General features: G+C 46.0%; 2 long non-coding RNA genes across 2 annotated transcripts in view, besides 8 other annotated features; one reads left to right on the top strand and one right to left on the bottom strand.

Annotated features, from left to right (window-relative positions):
* DLEU2 (deleted in lymphocytic leukemia 2) overlaps positions 1-12,410 on the bottom strand; it is a 142,993-nt gene extending 130,583 nt beyond the window's left edge. Inside the window, exon 1 of the long non-coding RNA NR_152566.1 lies at positions 12,171-12,410. This is a non-coding gene — a long non-coding RNA (deleted in lymphocytic leukemia 2). The remainder of the gene's footprint in view (positions 1-12,170) is intronic.
* Positions 1-27,021, top strand: part of DLEU1 (deleted in lymphocytic leukemia 1) — a 446,475-nt gene that overhangs the window by 30,963 nt on the left and 388,491 nt on the right. The window lies entirely within an intron of this gene.
* Positions 8,689-9,214: an enhancer, noted in NCBI's record as "NANOG hESC enhancer chr13:50695956-50696481 (GRCh37/hg19 assembly coordinates)". NCBI's record gives its function as "activates a minimal SCP1, AML or CMV promoter by ChIP-STARR-seq in naive H9 embryonic stem cells {active_cell/tissue: H9 hESC(naive)}" and the evidence as "EXISTENCE:reporter gene assay evidence [ECO:0000049][PMID:30033119]".
* Positions 10,873-11,382: a silencer, noted in NCBI's record as "silent region_5354". NCBI's record gives its function as "represses an Ori minimal core promoter by ATAC-STARR-seq in GM12878 lymphoblastoid cells {active_cell/tissue: GM12878}" and the evidence as "EXISTENCE:reporter gene assay evidence [ECO:0000049][PMID:35858748]".
* Positions 11,463-11,972: a silencer, noted in NCBI's record as "silent region_5355". NCBI's record gives its function as "represses an Ori minimal core promoter by ATAC-STARR-seq in GM12878 lymphoblastoid cells {active_cell/tissue: GM12878}" and the evidence as "EXISTENCE:reporter gene assay evidence [ECO:0000049][PMID:35858748]".
* Positions 12,293-12,502: a silencer, noted in NCBI's record as "silent region_5356". NCBI's record gives its function as "represses an Ori minimal core promoter by ATAC-STARR-seq in GM12878 lymphoblastoid cells {active_cell/tissue: GM12878}" and the evidence as "EXISTENCE:reporter gene assay evidence [ECO:0000049][PMID:35858748]".
* Positions 12,531-13,241: an enhancer, noted in NCBI's record as "H3K4me1 hESC enhancer chr13:50699798-50700508 (GRCh37/hg19 assembly coordinates)". NCBI's record gives its function as "activates a minimal SCP1, AML or CMV promoter by ChIP-STARR-seq in primed H9 embryonic stem cells {active_cell/tissue: H9 hESC(primed)}" and the evidence as "EXISTENCE:reporter gene assay evidence [ECO:0000049][PMID:30033119]".
* Positions 12,533-12,862: a silencer, noted in NCBI's record as "silent region_5357". NCBI's record gives its function as "represses an Ori minimal core promoter by ATAC-STARR-seq in GM12878 lymphoblastoid cells {active_cell/tissue: GM12878}" and the evidence as "EXISTENCE:reporter gene assay evidence [ECO:0000049][PMID:35858748]".
* Positions 17,204-17,303: a silencer, noted in NCBI's record as "silent region_5358". NCBI's record gives its function as "represses an Ori minimal core promoter by ATAC-STARR-seq in GM12878 lymphoblastoid cells {active_cell/tissue: GM12878}" and the evidence as "EXISTENCE:reporter gene assay evidence [ECO:0000049][PMID:35858748]".
* Positions 18,080-18,159: a silencer, noted in NCBI's record as "silent region_5359". NCBI's record gives its function as "represses an Ori minimal core promoter by ATAC-STARR-seq in GM12878 lymphoblastoid cells {active_cell/tissue: GM12878}" and the evidence as "EXISTENCE:reporter gene assay evidence [ECO:0000049][PMID:35858748]".

Raw genomic sequence — 27,021 nt, forward strand, 5'->3', positions numbered from 1 at the left:
ACTATTATTTTGTATTTTTATTTTTTTTTTTGAGACGGAGTCTCATTCTGTCATCCAGACTGGAGTGCAGTGCCGCGATCTCGGCTCACTGCAACCTCTGACTCTGGGGTTCAAGGGACTCTTCTGCCTCAGCCTTTCAAGTAGCTGGGATTACAGGCACACGCCACCAAGCCTGGCTAATTTTTTTTGTATTTTTAGTAGAGATGGGGTTTCGCTATGTTGCCCAGGCTGGTCTTGAACTCCTGGCCTCAAGTGATCCTCCTGCCTTGGCCTCCCAAAATGCTGGGATTACAGGTGTGAGCCACTGTACCTGGCCTTAAATGCTAAGTTTTGACACACAAAAAAGAAAAATTTGTCCTTACCTTGTTCATTTTGATCAGCTATGTGAGGTTCAGGTAAGATTTTACGATCAGTAAAAAAGGTTTCTTGTGGAAGTAACTGGAAATAAGATTTACCTTGTAGGGTCATTATAAGTTTTGGAGATCATGTATGTAAAGTGCCTAGCATAGTGCCTGGCTCACAGGCACTCAGTAAATGGTGGCTATTATAATACATAATATTAATATGACTCCTTTTGTTATATTTCTATACATAAGGTGATCTGAAAAAAATATGAAGTGTAGTCCCCCATTTAAAAACATGATTCTAGGGCTGGATGCAGTGGCTCATCCCTATAATCCCAGTACTTTGAGAGGCCGAGGTGGGAGGATCACTTAAGCCCAGGAGGTCGAGGCTGCAAGGAAGTGTGATTGTGCCACTGCACTCCTGCCTGGGCAATAGAGTGAGACCTTGTCTCATAAATAAATAGATAGTTAAATAAATAAGTAAACAACACATTTCTAGACTTCTAGATAAAATGGGGAGTGAAAGCAGACCATAGAATCTCTCTGCACATATACTTTACAAGAAGTATACAACAGTATACTTTGTATACTGGAAAAACAACAATAAGAACTCCTTTAAAAGCATTACTAGAATCAGCTAGAAAAAGAAAATGTCCACAACCTAAGGCAACAGAGGCCAAAAGAATGCAATTATTTCAAAATAAATTTGGAACAGCAAGAAATGAAATAAGACATAGCTGGAAAAGTCAAATTCTCACCAAGAAGGAAGACTGGCAGTCCCAGAACATTCCCCTAATGAATTCATTCTTTTCTTCTTCAACATGATTATGTCCCATGTCTTCTCTCCTAAATCTCCCACATCTCTATGCTCCTCACTTCAAATCTTGTTTCATTGATAAATAGAAGTTGTTACAAGAGAAACTTATCTTCCCATATCAAATCTACCAATGTGCTTTTATCTGTACTCAAATATACTTTCTTCCTGTTACAAAGATCAACTATCCTTGCTATTATCTAAGGCAAGCCCCTCTACTGTGTCCTAGGTCCCATCTTCTCTTGCATATTCAAACATTTTGTTCCTGTGATTATCCCCTCCATATCCTGCATCCTCAGTTTCTCCCTCATCACCCTACAGTCCATATCCACATCTGCTTACAAAGGGAACAGAAGGCCCTTTATATCAAAGTTCTTCAAAGACTCTATAATTGCAATCTTCACTTCCTTACATTATCTCTTGAATCCATTCCAGTTTGGATTATTGTCTCCACAGCACCACTTAAAGTGCTCTTGTTGAGATTACCAACTACCTTATTGACAGATCATTTTCCTCTTCTCAAATGTCTGCGAGTCCCAGACATATTCCTCATACCCACCATCAACATTTCCCTCCAAGGTCATGTCTTCAATCTCTTGGTGTTAAATACTGTCTACCATCATAGGACTCCTAACATTTATATTCTATCCCTGATCCCTCTGTGGAGCTCTGGACTCACATACAACTGCTTGTCCAGCAACTCCGCTCAAATGTCTAAAGAGAACCTCAAAGTTAGCACATTTAAAATAAATCTCTTGATTTTCTTCTCCTCCACATTTTACTTCTCCCTAAGTCTTCCCTCATGTCAATATATGGCATAATTTCTAGTTACTATGGGCAAACATGTAGAAATCGTCCTTAATTCCTCTTTATCCCAGTTATTAAGCTGTTATCTTTCAGCAATAAACCTTTCCATAAACACTGCTTTGTGATGCTGGGACTGGGACTCTGCAAACTATATTTTTACTTTGCCAGCTGAATTCCTGCTATGTTTCATCAATATAGAGTAGTAGAGGAAAACTAGAAGTCAAGAAGAAGGGAAAATAACTTGCCCTCCCTCATAGGCCTTCTGTACCTGTCAGTGTTGCCCCAGCTGTGGGCCTTCACCCTGACAATGGTAGTTAGCTCAAAATTGCAACTATGTTTGGCTCTCCTAGACCAGTCCCAACAGACCCTCTCAGGAGTACCAGCAGCAGATGGGCAGCACTTCCTTGTCGGAGGTCAGAGTTCCAGCTCTGCCAAGTCCCTCCTCCTAGCTCCTGGGTTCTAAGAACTTGAGGTCTTTCTGTGTTTACCCAGTACCAGGGGCAGTAGCTGCTTCCCCAAGTTACTCTGTTATCTCAGTGCTCTCTTTTCGCTTTTTTCAGTCCTGCAACACCCATTTAACCAATCTCTTATACTCAGTGATTGCTCTTGAAATACTTAACAGCAGCCAGAGTGGTTCTTCTATGGCATAAACCATCTGCCTGCTCCTCATCACACTTAGAACAAACATCAAATTCTTTCCTAGGGTGTACAGCTCCTTTGGTGATCTGGCCTACCCATTTCTCTAGTCTCATCTCCCACCTGCTTCCCGTTACTCGTTTGGCTCCAATCACTCTCTCTTGAACACACTGCTTTTCCACCTCAGGGCCTTTGTATGTGCTCTTCTCATACCTGGACTGCCCAGGTCTTTGCCTAGCTCACTGCCTTACTTCACTCAGGCCTATTCTCAAATGTCCTCTTAGAGATGCCTGCCCTAACTACTCTATCTAAAATGCACAATCCTCTCTGTACCCACCCCCAACCCGCCCCAATTCCTTACCTCCATTTCTTTTTCTTATCACTACAAGTTTATTTCTTCCTCTTCCATCCTCAACTGAAATGTAAGCTTCATAAAGGCAGGGATGTGATCATATTTATCACTGGTGCCTGGCATATATAGTAGGTACTCAAATTCTAGTTAATAAATGAATTTAAGAAATTCTAGAAATTAATAAATTGTAATGAATGTAGTAGAAAAGTAGACCAAAGAAATTGCAAAGAAGATAATGTGGAAGTAAGACAAAGCTGACATAATATAAGCTGATCCATCTCCCTGCATATATAATGCAACAAATGAATCAGAAAAGGCACTTAAAGATGTAATAGAGGAGAATTTCCACAAAATAAACAAGTCTGCAGAATAAAATGTTCAATGTAAAATGGACGTATATTCAACATTGAGGCATATGCTCATAAAGAATGAAGAAAAAACTTTTCAAATCTCTTGGCAGAAAACTAAATCACTTACAAGAGGGAGGAAATCAAGCTGGCCTTAGACTTCCTCTAAGCAATATTCGAAGCCAGAAAACAAAGGAAAAATGTCTGCACAGTTTTAAGGCAAAGCCAGCATGACCCAAAACTATTATATCTAAATAAGTACCGTTCACGAATTAACGAAAAAGGCAAATATAGCATCTATGAGTCCATGTAGGGGAAAAAAAACTTCTTAGTAAAGAGCAGATGACTAAGTGATGAATCAAAATTAATAAGGAAGATATAGAGAAGCAAGGCATGTTGTAAGCTCTGGATTTTTAAGTACAGATCAAGATGAGATAACTAAAGAAATGAAAGTTACAAAACAAATAAACCTTAAAACTTGACTTTGTAAAAATAATAACATAACCAATAAATATATATTTTTCATAGCAGAGTCTGCTGGCATTTCTGAATTTGAAACATACGGATTAAAAAGTCTCTAAAGCCTTAATTTTTAAAATCTTGGGTATTTTAGGAACTAAGCTCTCTTGTGATGACGAAACATTTTCAAAAATTCAGCAGTTCCTTCCATTTCTCTTCCACCAAATTAGAATAATTTTAAATTTAATACTTTCCAATTTAAAAGTACTGTGATGTTCTCGGCTGGGCGCGGTGGGTCATGCCTGTAATCCCAGCACTTTGGGAGGCCGAGGTGGGCAGATCACGAGGTCAGGAGATTGAGACCATCCTGGCTAACACAGCGAAACCCCGTCTCTACTAAAAATACAAAAAAAAAAAAAATTAGCTGGGCTTGGTGACGGGCGCCTGTAGTCCCAGCTACTTGGGAGACTGAGGCAGGAGAATGGTGTGAACCCGGGAAGCAGGGAGCTTGCAGTGAGCCGAGACTGCGCCACTGCACTCCAGCTTGGGCAACAGAGCGAGACTCGTCTCAAAAAAAAAAAAAAAAAAAGTACTGTGATGTTCTCATCTTAAATAAAATGATCTTATCTGTATAAATGCATAGAAATATATCCTAAACTGATATTCATTTATTTTGATGGTAAAATCTAGGATCTGAGGAGATTTAAAAACTTTCCTGTAACTTTCTATATTGTTTGAATTATTTATAAATGAGCATGTATTTTTATAAAATCAATAGCCATTATCCATAAAATAGCATTATACACAACAATGTGAATATACTTAACACTACTGAACTGTACCCTTAAAAATGGTGAAGATGGTAAATTTATATTTACCATTTATAACTTTTGCCACAATTAAAAATAATAAATTTTAAAAATACTATTGTAAAATTTATAAAATAGCTAATGCACAATAGCTTTACAGATGAATTTACAGATTCTACCAACATTTGCCCGAACAACTTTTCCACCAAAATGTGAAACCTCAGATTATACCCTTGCATAATACTCTATATTTGCCTATACATTATTTTAGTAAGCAGAGATTATTCACTGGCAGATACTGTTATAACTATGCCAAATGAAAAGTTACTTATGAAAAGTAACTAATAAGTTATGTTACTTTATTAACTATCCTTGTGCTGTAAAGTTGTAAATATGTCATTTGATTTAAATATTCAGAAGAAAATCTTTTAGCTTTAATGATTTTTTTCCTGATTGTTAAAATAATATGTGCTCATTTTAGAAAATATACAAAGGTAAAAATGACCATAATCACAGAGTACATTTTGGTGTACTTTTTCCACCCTTTTCCTATGCATTTTACATATATATTATATATGCATTTCCTATGCATTTTTAAATAAATGAGAAAGTTTTATAAACTAAAAATCTTAGTGTATATTAAACATTAATATTTGTGTCATTAAGTATTTTTAATAGATACATATTTTGTTAGATTGATACACCATGGTTTATTAAACCACTCTCCCACTGCTGAATATTCAGATTGTTTCCTCTGTATAGATACTCTAGTGAATATGCATAAATCTGTGATTTCATATCTGATTATCTCCTTCAAATTGGTTCCTGTTAGTGCAACTACTGTGTCAAAGAATTGGACATTTTTAAGACCCCAGAAAGGTAATAGATAAGACTGAAAGTTTTTTTTTTCTTTTTTTTTTCTTTTGAGACCAAGTGTTGCTCTGTTGCCCAGGCTGCAGTGCAGTGGCACGATCTTGGCTCACTGCAACCTCCACCTCCCGGGTTCAAGTGATTCTCCTGCCTCAGCCTCCCGAGTAGCTGGGATTACAGGCACAGGCCACCCTGCCCGGCTAATTTTTATATTTTTTTTAGTACAGATGGAGTTTCACCATGTTGGCCAGGCTGGTCTCAAACTCCTGTCCTCGTGATCCGCCCGCCACGGCCTCTCAAAGTGCTGGGATTACAGGCGTGAGCCACCTCGCCCAGACAAGACTGAAAGTTTTATTGCACTCTTAGTGGCACTGGTTATCAGCACTTATTTTCAATCTTTGTCAATCTGACGGGGGAGGGGTCTCTTTCTGTAATTTAATTAGGCAAAGTTGAATTTTTACTCACATATTCATAGGAATAACTTTACTACCTTAAGGACTTGTAATTCTTTGTTTTTTTACTTAAGAAGATTGCATTTAGTTCTTAATGTATTTGTAGACAGAGCATTATTACTATTTTTTTTTTTTTTTTTTTTTTTTTGAGACGGAGTCTCGCTGTCGCCCAGGCTGGAGTGCAGTGGCGCAATCTCGGCTCACTGCAGGCTCCGCCCCCTGGGGTTCACGCCATTCTCCTGCCTCAGCCTCCCGAGTAGCTGGGACTACAGGCGCCCGCCACCTCGCCCGGCTAATTTTTTGTATTTTTAGTAGAGACGGGGTTTCACCGTGTTAGCCAGGATGGTCTCGATCTCCTGACCTCGTGATCCGCCCGCCTCGGCCTCCCAAAGTGCTGGGATTACAGGCGTGAGCCACCGCGCCCGGCCGCATTATTACTATTAGCTAGCAAGATCATATTTTCTTTTTTTAAGACCCTAAGCTATGTGATCCTGGTATCATATTTTCTGTATTGAATTTATTTCTCCATGTGCCAGTTTCACTACACTTTCCAAAGTGCTACTAAATGCTTAGTTTATAAGGTTTTAAAAAACTCACTGCATAATTACTTTAAAATAATTTCCTCAACCCTGCCTTCATTCAAAATGTCTGGAGACAGACTGGCCCACTTCCAATTTTCTTTCACGTTATCATTACTGTGAAGTCATTCTATAGATAGGAGAGCATTCTGGCATACAGAAAAACAGCATCTGTGAAACTATATGGCACAGTTTGGTTGGGGTTGTTGCTCCTTCAGAACCGCATTATGTAATTTTAGTGTTTACTTAAGCTCCTTTGGGCTGCCTCCGTGGTAGCTATGAGCTCACAGAGAAGTAAGTACAGTTTAGATCTGATAGCAAAGTCTATCAGTTTATCCTGAATGCTGCATCCTTTTTTTGTTGTTGTTGTTAAATCATTACTGTATGAGAAACTTTAAAAACAAAGGTATAGTTTCTTCATTTTATTTTTTAAAAAAGCTACTTCAAACATCATTAAGTAATACACCAAAAAATAAAGGGTTCATAAATATATATTTGCTCCTTATCTGGACGTACTTATTTAAAAACTCATATTCTACAGTATGAACTTACAGTGTGATTTTGACTCAACATAAATATAAATATGCAAAATTACCAAAATTAGAGGGATTAGCCTTTAGGAAAGTACAAATTATTAAAATGGCCTAAGCACTATTTCTATTTCTAAGTCATAGAGGAAGCACATTTAATATTTCTTAAAAAAAACAAAAAACACCAAAGATGTATAAGTTAATATCAGCTTAGGGAGAATTTTACAAGATACTAGGTTATAAGAAAAGATTATTTAACCTTGATTATTCAATGAAAAGTAGTATTTTCAGTTTTTTAGAGCGATAACTCTTGAGTCTCTCTACCAAACAAATAATTATATATGCTGGTTTAAAATAAAAATAAATCAGTCTGCATTATAAAGGTGGGAGAAGTATCCATTTTTTTATTGTAATAATCAAGTGTTACGTCGCCTTCATAGGAAACATGCATACTCTTATAAAATACTTAAAAGCCTCAACTGTTCCTTTAGAATTACTGATTTTGATGAATAAACAAGCCCCAATAAAGTCAATATCGTAACATCTAAAAGCATATTGTCCCTTTTGGGAAATGTCATTTTGTTTTAATTATTATTATAAAATTACTTACTGGAATATTCTCCATAGCATTTTGCTTTTTAATTTTGAGAAGGACATTATGCCATTGATTGCCAGCGATCCTATGAGGTCCAAAGTTGGGATAACTCATGGAGGGCAAAGAAAAAAGTTTTCATCACCGTGGAGGTACAGCTACTGTGAATGTCCTACCTAGTTTGGGAGAGAAGGGTATGTGTGCACAGGAGGCCTGACCTGGAGGGAATGGACACAGGGAGAAGAAAGGTGCAGGAAGATTATGAGACAGACTGCCTACTCAAGTTGGCTCAGGATTAGCTTTGCTGGAACATTTAAATGTTTGGGTTTTTATATTTCATTCTAATATAAAAAAGAGGGTATTTATTAGGTTTCTTATGTTTAAACTTTTCTAATGTACAAATGTACTGTTTATAAATCTATTTATCAGAAGTTACATGTGGTGATTTTAAACATGTTGCAAATTGACACTCCTACCATTAAAAGGTGGAGTCTAATTCCCCTCCCCAGAACACATATGGCCTTAGTAATTTGCTTTTAACAAACGGAAGTGATGGATATGATGCTGCATGGCTTCTAAGACTAGGTTATAAAAAATGATACAGTTTTACCAGGTGTGATGGCTCACGCCTGTAATCCAAACACTTTGGGAGGCCGAGGCGGGCGGATCACAAGGTCAGGAGATCGAGACCATCCTGGCTAACACGGTGAAACCCCCTCTCTATTAAAAATACAAAAATCAGCCAGGCGTGGTGGCACGTGCTTGTAGTCCCAGCTGCTCAGGATGCTGAGGCAGGAGAATCACTTGAACCTAGGAGGCATAGGTTGCAGTGAACTGAGATCGCGCCACTGCACTCCAGCCTGGGTGACAGAGTGAGACTCTGTGATACAGTTTCCATCTGGCTCTCAGTCTTAGGACCTGTGGAACTAGCCACCCTGTTGTGAGGCAGCCAGACCACATGGAGAGGCCATGTGTAGGTGTTCTGGCTGATAGCCCCAGCCATCAGTCAGTATTAACCACTAGACAAGCAAGTGGACAAGCCTTCAGATGATGCCAGCTCCAGCCTTTGAGCTGCCCCAGCTGTCATCCAGTGGATTAGAAACAAGTTTTCTCTACTAGGCAAGGTAATGTTGTTTTAAGCCACTAAATTTTGGGGTGGTTTCTGTACTTAAGTCACTGCTTCCAATAAATCCCTAGTCAGGTTAACTGTAACGGGTTAACCTGTTGGAAGGAAGGAAATGGAAGAGGCAAAGGAAAACCCTTTCCTTCCACGCTTCCTTATTTCCTTAGCCAGACTGTGAGTTTAGCACCTTCTGCTACTAACTGTTGGAGATTAAGTGTGCTTTTGAAGTGCAAAAAACACCATCATGGGGACTCAGTCTATCCCAACACCTTTCCTTGAGGGCTTAGAGACTGAGCAGGGGAAAGACAAAGTTTGATTTCTTCCATTTCTCCTTTTCTTCTTCCTTAGGTATCTCTAGTTTCAAAAAAAGGGAGAAGCAAGATTTCATCCTCTCCTATCTTCACTGTCCTTCTAAATTCAAATCTCCAGAAAGACAATTATGGTTTCTTTTTCACTGAAAGAGAACACAGCTTTTTCAGTCATATAAAGGGAACAAAGCAGCAACATGTTTCTATTATCAAGGAAGCAGGATTTTATTCATCAGTTATATGCTACGGACACTGCTCTGTCTTTAGTCACTCATCACGGTTCTTCAAAGATTCCTTCTGCTCCCCTTCTTCCCCTGAATATGGGTGTTCCCAGGGTTCCCTCCTCAGACCACTTCTTACAGGGCACCCTTTGTGGTCCATCTAAGCCCCTCCCACTGCTTTAGCTATCACCTACATTTTAATGACTCCAGAGAGCCAAACTACTTCAACACCCCCTGCTCCCCCAGTAGTTCTCTGATACTTCAGATTCTACAGGGACAAAACAGAGTTCCTTCCCCTAGACTTGAGGCCTACTTCTCCTTTTAGTCCACACCCTAAACCAGAAATCTGGGTATCTCTTGCTCTTGCCCTTTACAGCCAACCAGTTTTCCCATTCCACCAACAGAATTCCACCAATTTAATTACTTCCTTGAATTCCTCTTTTCTCTATCCCCACTATCCCTAGGTACACAGCGGTGGTCCTAATTGATTGTTACTTAGGTCACAGGCTGTTTTACATTCCATCTTCAAGTCTCCAGGACTTCAACCAGTGTACACCTCAATATGACATTTCCAAAACTCCTTTCATGGCTCTCCCTTTCCTATGTTTTAGTCCTGAGGCAGAATAGGAATTTACTCATAAAGCAAGTAACCCCCCTAAAATTGTATGCAAAATTTTAGTATAGGTATGTAAGCGCATTTTTTTTTCCTAGAGAAAGAGCCCATTGCTTTTTATTTTCCTCAAAAGGTATGTGTTTCCCCCAAAACTTGTAGGTCTCAGGCTAAAGTCCAAATTCTTCAGCATGCAGGGTATATACAAAGCCCTGCCCGACCTGGCCTCTTGCCTCCCTGCAGCTAACCTGGCAATTGCTCTCTCTTAACATCTACCTCCTGGATTTACAAACTGGGGTGGAGGTGGGAAAAAAGAATCAAAATCATAAAGTGAAGCCAAAACTGTTTGTGTAGCATTTATACACTGTTGAAGAATCAAAGGCCTTTTTTTCATAGTGCTTTTCGGGAGGGAGAAATTGGATTGTAAACATGTAATTTACAATCTCCACATTTTTTATTCTAGATAAATGCCACACACACCTTCCTGTTACAGAATATTGCATAGCAACTTTCAACATCATTCAGTTTTTTAATACCTATCCACATATGATGTTATGTATTTTACAAATCCTGCAACTAACAACGCAGTTCTTGATAGACTGCGATCTACTGGGAGGACTGCTCGGTTTTCACCTGAATTATTGCTCGTGGTTCACACACTAACACCCAAAAAGACACTCTACGGGTCATGACGTGTCCCTAAAATCCTCCATCTACTCCAGAAAACGTTCTAACTTTTTGAGACGAACTGTTGTAACTAGTCTCCTGGCGAGGCCTGCTATGTCTTATACCACAGGCTCTAACTGCCAAATCTTTTTCAGAAGTCTTTCAGTTGTTGCCTCCAAACGGAGCTCTTTGCAGTCCTCGGGCGGACGAATGGACGGATTCGAGCGAAGCTTATTTCCCTTCTCCTAACGCATCTACCTATAAATAGCGCTCACCGCGCTGAGTCACCAAAACCCCGAGTTTCCCCAAATAGCGCGTAACGACTGCTGGGATCGCGTCCCTCGGGGCTCTGTGACAGACTCCAACCACACACCCGCTGGGCTGGACTGCGGGCCCACACGGCCCAGCGGGTCTCTCACCACCCGGCGCCCCAGGGACGCGGGCGAGGCCGCGGTGTCCGGACCGAGTCGACAGCGTCGGACTTCCCGCGCGCGGACGGCGCTCTGGGGAAGGAGGAGCCGGCGGGCGGCTGGACCTGGCCTTGACTGCGCGGGGTCCGCCCCCGCCCCCTCGGGAGCGCAGAGTTGCGGGGGGCCGGCACCAGCCTCCGCCCTGCGCCGCCCGCTCACACAATGGGACGCGTCGGGAGGGGGCGGCCGCGGCTCCCATTCCGGTCCCAGGGCGGGGACTCCGGGCGGCGGGAGAAGCAGTCGGGCTGGGGCCAGAAGGAAAACCCCTCTCTCCCTCTGCCCACTCAAACTGCGAAAGGGCTCCAGCCGGCGGTGCCAGGGGCTGGGGAGCAGCTGGGGAGGGAGCGGAAGTGCCACCCCCTGCAGTCAAGGGTGGTGACGTCACCCCTGCAGCCAGCCTGTAGCGGGGGTGTCTGTACATCACATGACCCGGCCCCCCTCTCCCCGCCGAAGCCCGCGCGCGCGCTCTCTCCCCCAGCCCCGACTCCCACCTCTCCCCCGCCCCCTCTCCCCAACTTTCGCCCTCCCCGCTCCGGCACCGCTGTCAACAGCGCCAGCTCCGCCCCCTCCCCGCGCCCTGTGGAACCGCCACGGCGGCGCGGCGGGCGCTCGCGCTCAGGTCCGAGGCTCCGAGAAGCGAGCGTGCCCCGGTTCCACCCTGCCCCCCAGCTCAGTGCTTGCTGGCTGCGTGGGCACCAGAGCCAGGGGGCACGGCGGCGTGCAGCGACAGCGCTTCTCTGCTCCATCCTCCCACAGCAGTTAGAGGACGAAGCTGAGGCGCCGGGTCCGAGCTCGGAGGGAGCGAGGCGCATGCAGCGGCCTCCGGGCCCTGACGCGTAGCCTCCGGGGGTCGGCCCACGGGCGAGAGAAGCAGCCGGGAGCCCCTCCTCGACCCCAGCAAGGCGGCCCGCGCCTCCGCTCTCCCTACCGCCCGGGTGGCGCACGCCAGTCCTCCGTCTTTGGCTGCGGCGCAGGCACCGGCCATACGACGAGGGGCCAGGCGGGGACCGCCTCCTTGAGCCCCCTCGGCCACCCCTGCCGTGTGGACTGCTGGGGTTGCAGATTTGCTGGCTGTTGCTGCAGCGCCTCGTTCTATTTTTCCTCTCAGTTCCCTTCTAAAAGTGGAGGCTCGGGGGAGGAAAAAGAAAGCCCACAGTGTTGAAAGGGGCGGTACGGACTGACCTGTCAACGGCGGAGGAGGAAGACCCCCGTTCGGGGCGAGCTCTCGAGCCCGCGCAGGGATCGGAGCTCTGGGCTCGCGCGGAAAGGCACGGCGGCAGCTGTGCCTCAGCCAGGTGTCCCCCCTCGGCGGGGCCCGCGCCGCCGCGCCCGCCCCCTCCCCCGGCGCAGCGCTCCCCGCCCCATCGCCGGGGACCAGGGAACCCCCCGGCTCGATTTTTTGTGCAGTTTCAGCAAAGCTCCGAGGAAGTTGGTCCTTTTGTTCCACTATTTATAGATTGCGTCAACATTGCGAAAAGGAGAAGGCGGAGCGGTGGCCCCTCCCCCTCCCCTCCCCCCGCCGGCTCCTGGGAGAGAAAAGCCCCAGCACACGACCTAAGTACACAGCGCGCCAGCCGCCCGCCCGCGGCCTTCTGCTCCCCGCTTCTTCCCCCTCCCAGCCGGGGCCCGAACGCTGCCAACCCCGTCACGTGCCCGCCCGGGAAAACCAGCTCCCCGGGGCTCCGCGCCGCCCGCCAGGCTTCGTGGCGGCGGCGGCGGCAGCGGCCTCACCCAGCTCGTGGGCTCGGGCCGCGGCTCAGGCGTCACGCATAGCGTGGGCACCCACGCCCTCGCCACCCGACGAGGATCTCGGGCTCCGCGACCTGTGGGAGTGCTGCGGGGCGTCCCGCACTTCCGCCCTCTCTCGTCTCCGGCTCCCCAGTCGCCGCCCCGCTCGCCGAGTGTGCGCGCATTCGGGCCTCGCCTCGGAGCCGGGAGGCTGTCCTGTCCCCAGGCCCCTCGCGCGGCCGCTCTTCCAGGCATTGCGGTGCTAGCCCCCTCTCCCGCGCACGACTGGGGAGGGCAGAGGTGTGAGGGATGCGGGGGTGGCTCGCAGCCGTTCGCGGGCAGGCGGGCGGAGCGCGGGAAGCGCGGTGCGGGCGTTCCATGGCGCACCCAGACGCTCTCCCTCCTCCGCAGGTGCAGCGGGGCGTTGCGCGAGCTCGAGTCCCCCTTCCCGGACAGCTAGGGAGAAGGGAGTTTGCAGACCGGAGCTACAGTTGGAAGAATATAGTTTTTGAGAAGTTACTGGAAGTTAGATGTGAGACAAAAACAGACGAACTTTCCTTCAAAGCCTTATGACGAAATGATAGGCCTTGCCATACCCTTGAAATGAAACTGAGCTCCCTACCGGCCTAAAGCCGCTGTTCCTGAGCTTCATGTAAACAAGGAGGGCGGTAAACACCAGAGGAAGGCCTTACAACAATACCAAGTGCAAGTAGCTCATTTGAGTGTTATTTATCTTAGCAGCTTCCCTGAGTGATTTATGTATATTGCAGTTTAACTTTACAGGGTGGGAATAAAATAATTTGGCTTCTCAGCTCACTGGCGGAAGAAACTAGAGCTGAGCTGGGACGAGGGCAAGAAGCGCGTCGCACCTTTCCTGGCAGCTGAACAGTGTGATGAACAGTCTGGAAGGGTTATGTTATTACTTAAGGGGTTTGGGGAAACCGTTCCCGCGCACAGACCCTCATTCGGGCCAACTGCAGGCCGTGGGGGACTCTTCAAGGACTCGCGCAACCCGAGCCGAGCTTCCTGGCTGGGCACTGGGCTCAGCCAGTGCTGAGAGCGCTTTCGCTGGGCCAGTCAAGACAGCAATAAGTTTGCCTCTATTTGGGAAACCTTTCCAGGCTTGCCTGCCCTCTTTTAAGAGGGAGACTAGGTGGTGGGATCGTCAGCTGCCAATGTGTGCACTCGTTCTAAAGAAGGCGAGAGGAAGTAAAGCGAACCTGTGCAGTGTTTGCTGGGCTTCCAAAACGCGGAGCTTAGTCGACCCCCCAGCGAACCGGACGGCGCTTTGGTCCCCTCACACCTAACGGTACTCAGAGCCTGGTGCGGGAGCTGGCGCGCTCGCTCCTGGTTTCCTTCCAATTTAGGCAAAGGCCCTGGCCGCCCGTCTTCCTGCTTCTGCTGTGCCCTGCCACAGCACTCCTAAGACGGCGAATTCGTTTCTGCGCCAATTTTGTTTTGAATATCTACAAACCACTTTTCCTTGCATGAAGAAAACAAGGCAGGGCCCCCTGGCCCGTCCCACACCTGCGAGAGGCAGAGATACAGAGGCCTCGGGCCTCAGCCTTCATTTCCCCGCCCTAGCTTCGCGCCAAGCTGCAGTGTCCCCGACACACTGTCAGGACACGCGCTTTTCGCCCCTACTTTGTTCTTGCGCAGTCTTCCCAGCTGCGGAGAGGAGGGAGCGAAAGCAAAACGAAAGCACCCGGGGCGCATCAGTTGCAATAGCTTCCCTGAGCGCGGCCGTGGGAGGCCAAGATCTGAGGTCGCGAGGCGACGGTGGGGGCCCGAGCTGCGCAGAAACTGGGTGGGGGCGGTCCCTGGAGGGCGCCCGGGAGCTGCTAGAAGTTGTCCGGAGCCCCTCAACCCCCTTGGAAAAGCGAACGCGGATGTTAATATACCAACTCCGCAGGGAACTTTTGGCCCGGGTCTTGAGCTGAAATTCCAGACTGAATGGGACCGTGCTGAAAGTTCGACGAGGCAAAGGAGTATGGCGCGGGGGCAAGCTTTGACCCCCGGCTTCGTATCCTCGGGAGAGGCCGGGACTCCGGCTCGCCCAGCGAGGGTGCGCAGAGGCCTCCTGGGATTCTAGGCCCACAGAATTTTTGCTCCAGTGAAGTTGGATAAGCACTCCGCCTCCCCGCAAAAACCAGAGTTCTCGGCTTATAAACACTTCAATAAACTCTGGTGACATTCTCCGCGCTCGCTCCTTGCCCTCGCGGCAGTCACTGCAGGGACAAAGGCGGCCTGCGCAGACTTGGAAGAGGCGCGGCCCGCGTGGGCGGCTTTACCGGCCAAAGACGTTTTCAGTTAAGGGGAGGCATCTTCAGAGCTGAGGGTAACTCCCCACAGCCACCCCGCAGGTAGGGCAGCCAACCCCAATCTGGTCAGCTTAAAAGTGTCCTCGGTTTCGCCCCCTTTCCCAGCGAACCAACACTGGCAGATTGGCCTGCGAGCCGCTCGCTCTGTTGCTCTAGCACATTTATGTAGCCAAACGGTCGAAGAGCCCCATCTTTAAGCCCAATAAACACTTAACTTTATTCTATTTAATAACACATTTTGTTGTGGCAATATTTGTGGATTTTGGCAGGTATTAAAATCTGGTGATCCTAAATGAGTCCAATGTGGAAATGCAGTATTCTCTATGAGTAAATAGTTCTGTGCTTCCTCTCACTGGCACCTGACGCAAGGCGCAGCCAAGGACTATTACACCTCTGGCTGCTCGGACGCATCTTCGCACTGCGCCCCCTCGCTCTTTAAACCTGGGAGACTTGTAATTGTGTACCTGTTTGCATTGTTTAGCCTATGCATCGCAGATTATTCATTTTACTAACAGGACTCAAAAACAGCTGTAATTTTCAAAGATGCACGATGGAGTTCGCTTAGGCGAACCTCGGGAAGGCAGTCTTGGTTTCCTGCTAATGTTTTGCCGGTAACAGGCAGTAGTCAATCCCAGACTAGCTTTGTTGGTTTTTATTCCTCCCCTCTTTACCACAACGGCAAATACCAGAAAGTCCCAACTGTAAAAAGGGCGGCCCACTCCGCCCAAATTTCTCTATACGATGCTGAGAGGCGAGCTACAGGTGAAATAGACTCCTAGGCACTTCTCTTAGAAAAAGCCTTCTATTTCCTCTTTGAAAATACTTAGCAAAAGCTGTTTTTGACTTAACAGACTATAAAAATGCCTACTTTCACCATGCTCGCCCTTTGGTTTCATACGAAGCCACTTTTCTCACTTTCTTGCAAGTTCTTTTTTTCCTTTGTAATATATTTTTGTGAAACAGGTTCGATTGGGTTATCTTGCTAAACTGTCCGTCTAAAATTATGAAGTTGATGTTTTCTACTCTCCTTTGTTTAAACAAAAAGGACGCACACGGATGTGAAAGCCCGTGGTTGCCTTTATTCTGCACGCCACCTTTTTTTTTTTTTCTCTGCGTTCACAAATGATGCTTTGCCTGGGCTAGGTTCAGACTTCAGTACCTAAAACGTTATGCGTCTGGGCAGTCCCCAAGAGCTATCGAAAGGCCAGCCTTGCTCACCCCATTGGAACCAGCATCAGAAACCTCGATTTAGAGTCCAATTTGGAAACAGATCCGTGCCTTTCTCGGTGAAATGGGAAGTTGCCTAAACGATGCATCTGGCTTTAGATTTTATGGGGAATATGATCTGGAAAAGGGAACGCCTGTTTCAGCTGGGGCAACACGCCCCGCGCGGGTCCCCTGGGGCTTCTCCTGCAAACAACGCGCGGGATCTCGACCCGCAGGGCCTCAGTCGACCTCTGCGCGCCAGGCTTGGGGTTGACCCCACACCAGCGCGCTCCCTTCCTGGCCTCGCCTGGGGTCTCTGGCAGTGGCTGACGAGGCTTTTTGACCAAAGGAGAAAGTTTGAGGCTGCAGATCACATGTCCTTAAAGGATCTGGGGAGAGGGAGAGGCTCTTTGCAATTGGTGCCAAGAAACTCGAACATCCCGCGCTCGCCGCGAGGCGAAAAGAACTATCCTGGGGGAGCACAAGTGTTCCCGAGACTTTGCCAAAGTTTCCAGAGTCCGGAGGTAGCTTGCCTCCCACCCCCGCCCACCACTGGGTTATTTCCTAATCCCCTCTAGGCTGCCTCGGGCGAGGACCCAGGCGGGGCCCGGGGTGGCGGAGCAGGGAGAGTGGTGGGGAAGATGGACCTTCCTTGTGGCCGGCTCCTTCGGCAGTGGAAACCTCTAAGGGGTTAAAATGGCGCGGCTGGATGGGCGTGGGGAATGTTGCCAGTGTTCGGTCCCGACTCAGGGGAGAAACGGGGTGGGGGTGTGGGGATCCCGGAAAGGGCCGGAAAAGCCGGGAGCACCGGGAGGTGTGAGGCCAGAGTTTCTGCTACTGGGGGCTCTTCCAGGGAAGACGCTGGCGGGAATAGGATGGGGCTGGCAGCTGGGGAGCCTCGCGGTGGCTATTGCACGTCTCGGCCCCCCTGGACAGGGTTATGTCAGGAGAGCGCCCTGGCACCGAGCTCTGGCCGCTGGATAAGATACTCCCTCGCCGGCTCCCTCCGTGAGCGGGGCTGGGCGGGTGCGGAGGGGCGGGCGGTGCGCCTCGCCGAGCCCGGGGCGCTGAGGTCGGCAAGTCGTCTTCGGAACTGGCGGCGGCGCTTCTCCAGTCGACGTGGAAAAAAAAATCGTCTCAAATAGCACCCCTCGGTCTGCAGCCCTTTAACACTGGTAAAGTAGATAACAAGGAACTCTGCTGAACGAGGGAAACTCAGTTTAGAACGTCCCAGAGTTTCCAAGTTTGTCAAGCGACTGGGAATCTTGGTCGCCGCGTGGAGAGCTGCGCCCATTTCCCCTTCCAGAAGAAAACTGAAGGCGTATTCCTCCAAAGGAAGGCTGCAGTCAGGCGCCACACAGAACACAGGCAGTCCTCTCCGGCCGATCTCGGGCTCGCCTCTCCCAGGGCCGTAGGGAGCATCTTTTCTGAGCAGCCCCGGGAGGGCAGCTCCGGGCGCTCTCCGCGCTGGGCCCTGCCGCGGCCGGTGCGTTACATCAGGAAACGCTTGGTCCGGTTTTCTGTCTGCTAGTCAAAACAATTGGCTGAATCTCGAAATAACTTTTTTGATAGTCCGGAAAAGAAACATGACAAATAGACTCACCATCAGGCTTGCGTCAGAGAACCATTTTCCCCAGACTATAGTGAGATTGTTTTTTTCATTAGTTGCAGGAACTGATTTTTTTATGATTTACCTACCTGCTGCAGTTGCTGAATGTATTCTTCTCCCCTCCTTTTCCCCACTTCATCTGGTTGTCAACTCCTTTCCCTCCCCGCCCCCATCCCCCATCCCTTTTAAAGCTCCGGGTACTGGAGTCCATCGTATCCAGTTTGTGTGTGTGTGTGTGTGTGTGTGTGTGTGTGTGTGTATCCCGCTAGTCTAGCCCAGCGTTTATTAATGGTCAATATAAGCCACAGTGTTTGCATAGCCCTCACAAAATGGGTCATGTTTTCGGTTCCTTTGATCTGCAGCGACGGAAAAGTTTTGCTTTGCATATTCTCTTTTTTGCACATCGAGTTTAGTGACGGTGCTCTCCTCACAAGTTACAAGTTCCCTCCCCTTTCAAACAGTTATAGGGATCTATTTTTACAGGGACCCAAAGAGTTAGGAGAAATCCAGCATGTGCTAAGGCTCACCTTCACTTTTTTTTTTTCCACACAAGGATTAACATTAACGATGTAATGAGTTAAAACAGACTTTAATACCACTAAGCATGGATTTCCCCATTAACCTTGGCAATTATGTCACTTCAAAGAAGGAAGTATCAATAACGAAATTCTTTTGAATTAAATAAAATTATGGAAATTGTCCATCTGAGGTCTGGGCGCAGAAGAAGGAGGTTTCGGTATTTTAAAGAAGAACTCTTATTGGTGGATAATTATTAATATGAAATGAAATTTGTAAAGCTAGCCCTATCAGGGTACCTATATATATAGGTGCTTGATGAGTATTTAGTCTCCCTCACACCATTTTCTAATTCCCATCCTTGAAAATTTTGGCAGGAAATACAGACTTCCCAGTGGCTAAAAAATTATGCTGAAACTTCTCTTGTGGTTCAGGTAACCTCCACTTACTTAAAAACACACACACACACACACACACACACACACACACAAAATTTATCCAGGGAACTTTAATAGCTTATTAAACCTTAATGGAACTATCTAGGCAAAATAAAAATAATGGTGATTACGTATTCTAAATCCAAAACACATTAAATTAACTCGAATTTTTTGATGGTTCCAATAGGTAACTATTACCACCTGATTTCGTTTACGAGTTTCCACAGTAAAAACGAAATTTGTCAGCACTCGTTTGCTTCTAGCATTTCTGCTACAGCAGGCTTCGCCGGCAGACTGATCTTTCTAGACCTTGTCTCTTTCAGAGCGCCAATTTTATATTGAGGCTATTCAGTTCTCCACTTTTAAGAGAGACGGGTGCACTTTTTTTTCCTTTAAAAATCAAATGAGAAAATGGAGAAAGAGTTTGTAGCACTCACGGGTGGAGAAAACCCATCTGCCTGATCCTTTTGTCCCGGTGCGGAGTCGCTGGAGAGGAGAGTCTCCTGGAGCCGCTTCGCGGATCCCACTGGGTCACCTGGTCCTGGCTTATTTTCTTTGAGGCCCATTCTCGGGGAGTAAATAGACAGTAGCGAGTTTCCTGGCAACTTTGCACTACTCTTTAAATAGAAGAGAATTCCTCCAGTTTGCCTCCCCTTATAGGCTTTCCCGCCTCAAATTGTTTTAAATGCTCCTCACAGTCTTTTTGCCCCTTCTCCCAATGACAAGGCAAGTCTCAGCGGGTGACCTTGGTGTGTGCCGCAGGGTTCAGGCTCTTGGAGCCCAGCTGCCCTGCTGAGAGAGCGGGAGGATAGTCGCACCTAATTAGTACGCGGCTCCGGCGGAGATGAGTGCGTGGGCACTGTGCGTGCATCTTGCACATGACACCCAAGTTCAAAGCGCCCTGCTTATGAAAACTTGGGGCATCAATATCGTCTCATCACTCAGGCGCCCTTAGCGAATCTGGACAGATCGAGGGGCGCAGTCTTGGCTTCCGGACCAGGACTTTCTTTTTTTGAGATCTATTTAGCTAGTTTAGAAAAATACACCTTATGCGAACATATACAGCTATTTTCTCGCCCTCCACTCCAGTGGTCTGCAAGCCCCTGGTGCTAGTGTGAATATTCCTGAGTCCTGAGCGGGTTCCCGCCCGTGCAGAGCCAAGAACACTGAGCGGAGGTCACTGTAAGTTCAGAGCCGTGCATCCTGGTTAGAATTGGGAGAAAAAATTCTAAGCCCGCCCGGAGCTGCTCAGAAAAGATGGGTCTCGGTCCAGCGCCCCCTTAAAGTCCTCAGTGCGCGAAAGTCTTGGATTACTGTGCTTTGCGCAAATTGGACGCCACGCCTGAAGGGCCCGCGGAATCAATCGCTTGCCTTCTGTGGGGTCCTGGCATCAGCGTGACCAGGACATGCTATTATTATTGGAAACCGAGTCTTGAAGTGGACCCCCAGCCTCCACCCAAGCCCTGCGGCCAGGGAATAATTCTAAGGGCTCTCCCCTTTGGATGTCTAGGGTCGGGGCGGTCTCGGCTCCCTGGATCCTCTGGTGTCCCGGCACCGAGGGGCGCTCGGCAGCGGGGCAGAGGGGACGGCCTCGCGACCCCGCCAGGGGCACGAAGGAACGGCGGCCGAGGGAAGTCCACGCGGGCTCTGGCGCAGCAGCGAAGCTGGAGGCGTTTGCTCCGCTCTGCCCGGAGCAAGGGGCGCGCAGGGGAAACCGCTTCTAGAGCTTCGCGGGGAAGGGATCAGGGGCGGAGGGAATTCTGTATTCTAGTTGTGGATCTTTCGGGTCTCTGTCAGTTAACAGAAGCCTTTGGGGTGTGGGTCCGGGACGCCGCTCGGAGCCGTAAAACCTTGCCTGACCCGGCGCTCCCAGCCACTGCGGTGCAGCCGCCTTCGCCTTCTGGGTGCGGGACACAATCTGGCCCAAGGTCGTTCAAATCGGGGCCGGCCTACCCCTCAGAGAGAGCCTCCGCCCATGGTCCAGTGGCAGGGAAGCCTCAGGCTACGGCCTAGATGGAGCATTCACAAGGGCGTTTCCAGGCCCCAGTGGCCTCTGAGCAGGGGTTAACTGAGGTTCAGGTTTCTTCTGAAAACCTGAACTGAGGTTCAGGTTCACAAAAAGAATTACACAAGTTTCCCAACTCTACAATCTGTTAACTCAAGGCCGATTACCTTCTCAGAATCCTCTAAGTATTTTTGCCTGTAAAGTGAATTTGGACTTTCTTCTTCTCTTCCTCACACAGCTGGTCACAGACAAAAGGTGGGTTACAGGCCTGGAAAAGATTCATCCCCTGCTCACACATGTGCCTCTTTCTTGGGACGTTGTGTGTTCTCCACACTCCTGGGCCGGTCAGGAGGGGTCTTGTGCTCTGCTAGGGAGGTGGGCTTCCCTGTAGGAAGAGTGTGGAGGGAAAGGCCTAGCTGGCCCACTTGGTAGGGAGGGTCCCACGTGGCCTGCAGAAAGGCATGAAAATGACCAGGAGACAGGACCTGGGCCGATATGTGTGAAGGGTGGGGATCTGGAGGCATTGGGAAAACTCTCTCCCAGTGAAAAAGAGGCCCAAGAAGTTCTGCTGCCTGTTCTAAGAAGACAGGATGCTCAGTCTCAAGGTGGGACAAGGCCAGAGTTCCTTGCGACCAAACTGGGATCGGAAATCTGTATTTTCCTGGCTAAACTTCTTGTATTTTAAGCTTCTTTCTCATTTGCTTTCCGTTTACTCTTTAGTCAAGTGTTTCTGAAAATCTTGCCAAAAGGAAGTCATTCAGTTAACAGATATTTATTGAGAGACCACTGCATGTCAGGCACAGGAATAGGACGGTGAAGAAGACAGTTCTTGTCCTTACAGCTTACAATCCAATTTTTATCTTAAGAGAATAAAAGCAATTAAAGGATGCCATGAAAAAGATACCTGGGTAGATCCAAGGTGAAGGGAGCATGGCTATTTGGGGCTACTTACAAGAACTTCAGTATCCTTGAAACTTAGAGGGCAGAGGACCTGCTGGGGGAGCAGAGAGACAGCTTGAGGAGAGGAGCCTGGGCCCTGAGAGGGGGACCCGGGGTGAATAGTTCATCATGGGGCTTTCATGGTGCACAGCAGGTGAAGCCGAGGGCTGTGTTAGATCCGATGCCCCCTAGGTTTCCTTCTGGTGTGAAGATTTGAAGGATTCACTTTTATCAAGGGAGCTGATGTTTCCTTGCCAGGCACCACATATATCCCTGTGCTATTACACATGATTAATACTGCAGACTTTAAAATAACAATATGCAACTAAAAAGTACTTTCAAGAGAACTCATCTAGCAGAACGTTTTGTAAGAATATTGTAGTTAGAGAATTGTGTTGGAGATTAAATCATACATAGTGAACAAGACACTGTCCAGTCCTCACAATTTACCATCCAGTGGAAGATACAGAGAAATATATATGAGACATTCGAATTCACTGGAGAATAGAGAGCAGGCTTTATGCTCTCAGGAAGTTGGGTTATAGGGTTGGGGCATTTAGTTCAAGGTAGCTTGGGGAGGTCCCATGAAGAAATCTGGGAGATGATTCATAGAAGAACGGCTTTTGTGTATTGACTGAGCCCTTATTCTTATATGGCATTCAAAATCCTCCTGCAAACACAGTATTTCTGGGGCTCAGAATTGCCCTGAATTAATAACTGTGCTAGAAAGACAAAAGAAAGTTCTTGCAACTGATGAGACTTAAAAAAGTCCCCTCTGGAAATGTTAAGGCCTTCACAATATTTCTAGGGCTCAGGATTGTCAAAGGCTACTAACTCTGCCAGAGAGACAAAAGAAAGATCTTGCAACTAACTAGACTAAAAAAAGTGCTAGTTTGATGTTACAGTGATTAATTATGAAAATACTCAGGCATGATGCTTTTAATTGAATCCTTTTGTAGCATTATTGGTAGGGGCAGGAGGGAACAGCAATTCCTTGAATGCCTGCTGTTCCATAGGCCCTTGACATATATTGTCTCTTTTAATGCTCATGACAACTCCATCAAGTCGGTATTTTTATTTCCATTTTTTAGATTAGAAAAATGAGGTTCAGTGAGGTTATGCAAGGCCACTTGGGGAGTAAGTGGCAGACCCATCTGACTTCAAGCCTGTGTTCTCTTCCCTTTTCTCATGGAGTGCCTTCCCAACCCAGAGGGTGATGAGTCTAAAAAGGAATCATATTAAGAGAATTCACATTTGCAAATTTTAAATTCCTATAAAAAAATAGGCTTGGATGAACTTATAATATCTCTATAAATTATATTTTAGGGTTGCCAATATAAAAAATTAAGGAGATCAAAATAAACATCAAGAATGCTTTATACAAATTAAATTAACAGAATGCAATTAATGTCTCTTTACCGTTGCTTGCTAGAAAATTTTCAGAATAAAGAGATGCTTATCCATTAGTTTTGCTTTATTACACAGAGAAACACATGCGTGTCTAGCCTTACACTTAAGTGGAAATTCCCTTAGGTCACTTTCCCTGGGTTGTGACTAAAGGCAGCTGTCATTATCATGTAGGCCATGTGAGGTTTGTGACTGGAGAAGGGATTATGGTCATGTTATAATGTTATAAGTTGATAAAATTTTATAGGTACAAGTAAAAGCTTTTTACTTAAAACGAAAATCCTAGGATTACATCAATCAATCAATTCAGCAAATATCTGTTGAACATCTTCTGCCTGCCAAGGACCGTGCTGTGTGCTGAGGATATAACGTTGATCAAGACAAACTGAGTCCTTGCTACTGGAGACAGCCGATCAGGAAGGAAGGAAAACAAGACTTGCTTGGCTTCTGCCGTGTGCCAAACACTCTCCTAGATTCATTTAATCCTTCAGATGAGCCTGCTGTCTGTCCCTGTATATGCAGAACATGCGCAGAAAAAAAGTGAGCCTCAGAAAAATTAAATAGCTTGTTCAAGGTCATACAGCTTGTAAATGACAGAGCTCCAATTCAAACCCAGCAATAAAGACAAAGTTCTTTTCACTATGCTACACTACATCCTTGACTATGAAAATACTAAAAATTGTGAGTACTTGTTAGTCATTTTATCCCTCCTTGGCTTGTTTCCTCAATTAAAACAGCTGGGTGACTATTCTTATACTATTCACCTCATAGAACACTCTTAAAACCCAAAGCACTGTAAAAAAGTTTTTTTACAGTGCTTTTTAATTGTTTAGCTTAATTTAATTTTATAGGAGAAAAAGCATATGAACCCTAATAACAGGTGTGTCATAATAATCTATTGGTAGAAAAAAAATCCTAGTTCGATAGGATTAGATTTTGACAAATTATTATTGTTGCTTTTCTTTTATTAATTTAACACCAAACATTTATTGGAAATAGTAGAATTATGCCAAGCCTATAGATACAGAGATTTCTGAGCCTGTAGATACAGAGATACAGGATAAGGGCAAATTCCTTATCCAACAAGGACCTCCAAGTCTAGTGGGTGAGAGACATACCTATTTAGGTAAATTATAAAAATGTGCTGTAACAGATGCCCAAGGTCTCTGTTGCACAGACTGGAGTGCGGTGGTGCTATCATGGCTCACTGCAGCCTCAACCTCCTGGGCTCAATCGATCGTCCCATCTCAGCCTCTCAAGTAGCTGGGACCACAGGTATGCGCTACCATGCCAGGCTAATATTTTGATTTTCTGTAGAGACGGGGTCTCCCTGTGTTGCCCAGGCTAGTCTCAAACTCCTAGGCTCAAGCAGCCTCCCAGAGTGCTGGGATTATAGGTGTGAGCTACTGTGCCTGGCCCCAACTCTTCATTTTAAAGTTTTCCAATAGTTCTTGTAAAGTCTGCTTACACAGGCATTGGGGAAAGAGAGCTAGACCACTTGATTAAAGTGAGGTGGCCTAGAGAAAAACAGCTTTACAGCCTCTGACAATGTTGACAAGGATGTGGTTATATTCTACTAGCATAGATTAAGGATTCAAACAGATTTAGATAATTCAGTGTGCCATGGATGGGAAAGGTTGATGGGAAGTCTTCAAAGTAGATATAGGCAACATAAATTATAAAACATTATATGGCGGGGGGCATTTTGGCTAATAGTTTTACCCCTGAGTTCATTTAAAACTGTCAGTGGATGCCACTCATTTCTAGGGCATCTAGTCGATCCAATAAGAGTACAGCAAAGACAGGAGTTCAAGACCAGCCTGGACAACATGGCAAAACCACAAAAATACAACAAATACAACAAAAAATACAACAATTAGCTGGGTGCAGTAGCACGTGGCTATAGTCTCAGCTATTCTGGGGCTGAGATGGGAGGATCACTTGAGCCTGAGAGGTCAAGGCTTCAGTGAGCTGAGATAGCACCACTGCCCTCCAGCCTGGGCAACAGAGTGAGACCCTGTCTCAAAAAAACAAAAAGTACAGTAAAAAGTTCTGAACATATTTTTTCTAAGCAAAGGAATGTTTTATTCAAATGAAACTTTAACAAAAATCTAGTATATAAAGAACTGCAGTAGCTGAAGAAGATGGATGAGGAGGAGGGACGCCCTGACAACCACCAGAACAGCCATGCATTCAGTAGACTGAGGGGCCTGGCATCAAGTCTTGCCTTCTGTGTATTCCAGGTCTGGAAATAGGCAGCCACATCTGAGGTGCACAGTAAGTATATGATGACTGACTGAATAAATGAATGAAATGCCATCATTTTGCCTCTAAATGTAATTGAGGAACACAAAGCCGCTAACATTTTCATTAGTGAAAACCAAGGTAATGAATCCATTTAATAGCTCATTTTCATCACCAGATTCTTCTGGCCACTCACGGTCCTTACTTGCCTTCTTTGAACATGAGCTTATGAAGCATTTGGTTTTTACAGTCCAATTTCCTCTAGGACTGTTTCCATTTGACATAATCAGGAAAAGTACCCACCTGAGTTCAGGAAACTTGGTGAAATTCAGGCTGCATTTTAGGGGGTGAGTGGTGGGATAGGACCAAGAGGGAAAAAGAAAACAATTTTCTTGTAAGGATCACACACGGCTAATTTTAAAAATAAAATTATTCATCTAATTATATAAATAATGTATTGTCATTGTAGAAAGTTTGGAAAATACAGGAAAACCTAACGAAGGAAATAAAATTTACTTTCCCTGCCATCACCCAGAGATAATGCTGTCATTGATGTCTATCCCTCCGTTCATGTCTTTATGAAGCAGGATAACATATATAACATCCAAATATGTTTTAACTTGCTTTTATGACTACATAATATATGCAAATATTTTATGTTGTTAAATATTGTTCTAGAACATGATTTTTAAATTTCTGTATCATCACCGATGGAAGAATGTACCACATTTTGTCTAACAAATTTCTTTTATTTATTATTTATTTATTTATTTTTTAAATTTTTTATTTTATTTTATTTTATTATTATTACACTTTAAGTTTTACGGCACATGTTCTTATTGTTGAAAGTTTGACTTATTTCCCCTCTTTTTTCTATTATGAATAGTGCTACATTGAGTATCCTGTAGTCTGAGTGTGTGTCTGTTTAGTATTTATGGCATGCTACTTATTTTTTTATTTTTATTTTTAATTGTTGTGGGTACATACACAGTAGGCGTATCTATTTATGGGGTACAATGGCATGCTACTTTTTTTTTTTTAGACAGGGTCTCACTCTGTTGCCCAGTCTGGGGTGCAGTGGAGTGTGATCACAGCTCACTGCAGCCTCAACCTCCTGGGCTCAGGTGATCTTCTCACCTCAGTCTCCAGAGTAGCTGAGACCACAGGCATGCGCCACCACACACTGCTATTTTTGCATTTTTTGTAGAGATGGGGGTCTCACCATGTTGCCCAGGCTGGTCTCAAACTCCTGGGCTCAAGTGATCTGCCCGCCTTAGCCTCCCAAAGTGCTGGATTACAGGTGTGAGCCATTGTGCCTGGACGGCATGCTACTTTTTAAGGCTTTTGATGCACATGGGCAAATTCTAGAATGGCTGTACTGAAGTAGACATTGTGGACAATGCATTTGGGTTCTTGTTTCACACACCAGAGCTTCACTTTTCATCTGCAACGGCATTCTGACCATTTTTAATGAGCATTAGTTATTTGACACTGAGCATACCACTTTCCTAACTTTGAGAAGAAAGAGAGGTATTAAAGTCTTGGGTGTGGCTGTTTTTCAGAATTTACAATTAAAAATCTATCTCAATATTTTGCTGTCTTTAAAAAGCAGTGAAGTCTG

The sequence above is a fragment of the Homo sapiens genome, chromosome 13 (genome assembly GCF_000001405.40).
Source record: "Homo sapiens chromosome 13, GRCh38.p14 Primary Assembly".
NCBI classification, from domain to species: domain Eukaryota; kingdom Metazoa; phylum Chordata; class Mammalia; order Primates; family Hominidae; genus Homo; species Homo sapiens.